The sequence below is a fragment of the Homo sapiens genome, chromosome 8, assembly GCF_000001405.40.
Source record: "Homo sapiens chromosome 8, GRCh38.p14 Primary Assembly".
NCBI lineage: Eukaryota > Metazoa > Chordata > Mammalia > Primates > Hominidae > Homo > Homo sapiens.
The window spans coordinates 62,141,678-62,145,515 of NC_000008.11; the positions used below are offsets into that span (position 1 = coordinate 62,141,678).

Sequence of the window (3,838 nt, forward strand, 5' to 3'; positions counted from 1 at the left end):
AAAGAGAGAGGTTGGCTGATAATTCTATTGATGAAAGGTACCTCTCTCCTGGATAAATTTAATCAAACAGTAAGTGTTTGAAAGATACTTGGGATTCCTTTGATATTCCTATATGCTAAGGCAACATTGACTAGGGCAGGGGTTATATAATTTTGGAATAAAGACAGTTTACTCTTCTGGAGATTACCTGATAAACAAAAAACAACCCTTATAAAAGCAACATGATCTTGTCTGTTATTTTAGAGCAAAAATAATACTGGCCTCATCTCTTACTTTAACCCTCAGTTGTACTAAAACAAGGGTGGACTCCTTAACAGTGTTGCTCATGACTTTAGAAGAACTTTTTGATTTTTTTAAACAAGGCTTGTGTATTTGCAGCCCACTCTAGTGGGCCCATGCATGTAATCCCAACACTTTGGGAGGCTGAGATGGGAGGATCATTTGAGCTCAGGAGTTTGAGACCAGCCTGGGCAACATGGTGAAATCCCATCTCTACAAAAAATTCAAACAAAAAGTAGCTAGGGGTTGTGATGTGCACCTGTAGTCCCGGCTACTCAAGGGGCTGAGGTGGGAGAATCTCTTGAGCCCAGAAGGTTGAGGTCGAGACTGCAGTGAGCCGAGATCACGGCCCTGCACTCTAGCGTGGGCGACAGAATGAGACCCTGTCTCAAATAAATAAATAAATATTTTTTTTTAAAAAGGGCTCCTTTCAATGTTAGCCAAGGAATATGGAGATAGGTCCTAGTGACCTAACATAGATTATCACTTTTTTCTCAGTTTTAGTCCAAGATTTCCAGCTTCCTTCCTCATTACAGAATATTTTTTTTCACCCTGCCTCACAGTATAATTACCCTTCCAAATCCACCCTTTCTGAAGAATTACAGATGCTTAGTTTTCTACATTGCTCATTATCAGTCACCCAAAGGTGGGAGCTGCATATGATTATTCTTCTCAGCTGATTTACTTCTCTGTTTGCAAGCATCTCCTCATAAAATCTAGTCTAGGAGCTGGAGGACTTTTCCACCAGAAAAAAAAAAAAAAAAAAGTTAAACACGAGATGTAACCTGCATTAGGCCTGCTGTATCCAGTGAGCAGTGATGTCTGTCAAGCCATGGCTGTATACCTTCACTTTCCACATCTCCGTGAGGCAAATAATAGGTTATTTCTATACTGAAAAGACTGCCAGACTATACTTTCCAGTGGCTAACGTAATTACAAACAATTTAGATCTTTTAACTCCCCTCTTTGTCTCTAATATTTTATCCTTCTAAGATGCCTAGATTATAAAAAAAAAAAAAACTAAACGCCCCCCTCTTTTTTTTTAGAAGATTCCCATCTGTTTAATGTATATAAAGCCAAGGAAAGGACAGTCCCGAACTCAATAGAAAAATATTCTGTGCAATTCATATGGTGGGGTTGAGAGGAAAGGGACAAAGCTGTAGAACTCACACCTGAACATGTACAAAAAATAACTTACACAGCAACCCCCACCCTCAAGGATGATGCAGGTCTGCCCAGCCCCCGGGGCTCGCGGGCACACTGCAGACATGGCACTGCGGGAGCCAACCAATGTGGGCCCCAGGTGCAGGTAGGAGTCAGGAGGGCATCAGTCCGGAGGGGTGGGCGGCTATTAGGAGGCCTTGAAGCGGTTGCTGCCAGAACACGAGCTCAGCAGCTTGTCCACCATGGTGCGGGCGTAGCGGAGCTGGCTGGCCAGCTCCTTGCAGCCGCCTTAATCCTCCAGGAGACTCAGGTGGTTAGGTGCGGAAGTTCCGGTTCTCGTCGATGTAGGTGACGGCTGCCATCAGTGGGCACAAGGTGAGCTTGGTGTGATCCTGGAAGAAGTTGATCTGCATGCTGCCGTTGCTGAGGTGCAGGATGATGGCGCTGCGGGTGTGGAACCAGGTCCGCAGGTAGGGCAGCCGGGCGAGCTCATCGCCTTCGCGCGGCGTGATGTTGGCACCTGCCTTCAGGAAGTGCTCGCTCAAGTAATTGCGGAAATATTTAAGGAGTGTGATCTTCTTCATCATGGAATGGGGATGGGAACTCACGGTGAGGTAGGACTCGGTGCCATCACACTTTATGTACTGCAGGCTGTTACAATCATTGAAGAACACCTCCAGGCTGTTACCACACAGCTGATACCCAGGGCCCTACTTGTCTGAATAGTCCACCCACTTGCTGACCCAGAAGATGGAGATGCAGGCAGGATCCTCAGCCTCCTCTTGCCTGACCAGCCTTCCCTCCGAGGGCTTGGAGGCACTGACGCTGTGCAGCTGCTGCAGCATATCACTGAGGTGGAAGTCGACCACCTCACGCGTCTCTCAAACTGCTGGTTCTTCTTTTTCCCGGGGACGCTCAGGCAGGGAGTTCTCCAAGTGTTTATTGAGGACCGTGAGGGGCTTTCTGTTGCTGGGGTTCAGGCTGCTGGGAGCGATGGAAAACCTCGGTGGAATCGTGAGGCAGGTGATGGGGAGACGGGCTGGGACGTCATATTCGACTTTGGTTGCCAGTCCCAAGTCCCCTATTTTCACCTCCAGATACTCATTCAGGAAAAAGTTGCCCAGCTTGAGGTCTCGGTGAATAACTTGAATAACTCGGTTTCAGTGCAGGTACTGGCAGCCAAGCACAATTTGCCGCAGACAACATAGTGTCGGGCCTCAGGCTCAGTTAGGGCTTTCCTCCTCTTGTGCAGCTCCAGGAGAGACCTCCGGCGGCAGGGCTCCAACACCACGAACACAAAGTCGTTGTCCTCGAAAAAACCATGGAATCCTACGACGTGCTGCTGGGCAAGGCTGCGGTGAATGGATATTCCCATGGACATCTCCTTCTGGAGCGGCATGAGCAGTAGCGACTTAGGCACAATCTTGCCCGCGAACACAACCTTGTTGTCCGCGTCTGAGATCTCGAAGCACTTGGCAAAGCCGCCCTTGCCCAAAAAGCGGCCCCACACATAGCGCTGCCGGCTGCGCGGGTCCACTAGGACCTCCGGGATCTCTTTAGCCGGTAAAGCAGCCGCCAGAGCTCCGGGAGCTGTAACTCCGGGGACCCCGGCTTTCCCAGGGACGGCCGGTGCCCGTGTCACTTCCCCGCAGTCACCGCTGCAGTCATGTTCCTGGAGCTGCTCAGCAGACGTGGATCCCAGCAGAGGCTCCGCACCTCTCCGCTCCTCCGCGAATTCCTAAACCCACTTTCTTTAAGGCTTTTGGCTCTTTCCTCTCTGGTTATAATGGAAACAATATAAGAGACCTGGCCATGACAAGCCTAATTAATGGGAGGCAGTGGTGAGAAGTGGAAGTTCATCACGTCCTCTTTATTTCCACTCACAGGCTCAGTAAAAAATATTTAGAATACTTTGGCCATCCTAACTGCTATTTAATTCTGACAATGGTCAGAATCTAAATGGGAAACCTATGAACATTTCACAATTGATAAAATGAAATGAAAATGCAACTAAGTTTTAGCAAAAATAGCAACTGAAATGCTTATAAAGTGCTTCAATAAAAAATGTTGTTATTTGCATTTTCCTGATGGCCAATGAGATCATATGTTTATCGGCCAATTGGACCAGATGTAGTATCTTTTAGAATGTGTCAATTGCCAGCTTTTCTTTTTGCTTAGCTCTCTTATCCTTACTGATTTTTAGGGTTTGTAAACATTCTGGTTATAAGTGATTTACTGGATGAAGTACATTTTGAGATGTGAAAAAATATTAAAGTATGTTTTATACTAATAGGTTTTATACTAATAACAGTAATTTGGTGATTCAAGATACAGAGAGAACTGCAGGAGAGAAACCCTTGAGTTAACAATAGTGTATGGGACCCAGGATAGTAGT

At 46.8% G+C, this 3,838-nt stretch overlaps 1 pseudogene; it reads right to left on the reverse strand.

The window, feature by feature from the left end:
- On the reverse strand, positions 1,436 to 2,916 carry LOC392226 (serine/threonine-protein kinase PLK1-like; annotated as a pseudogene).
- Between the last annotated feature and the right edge of the window lie 922 nt (positions 2,917 to 3,838).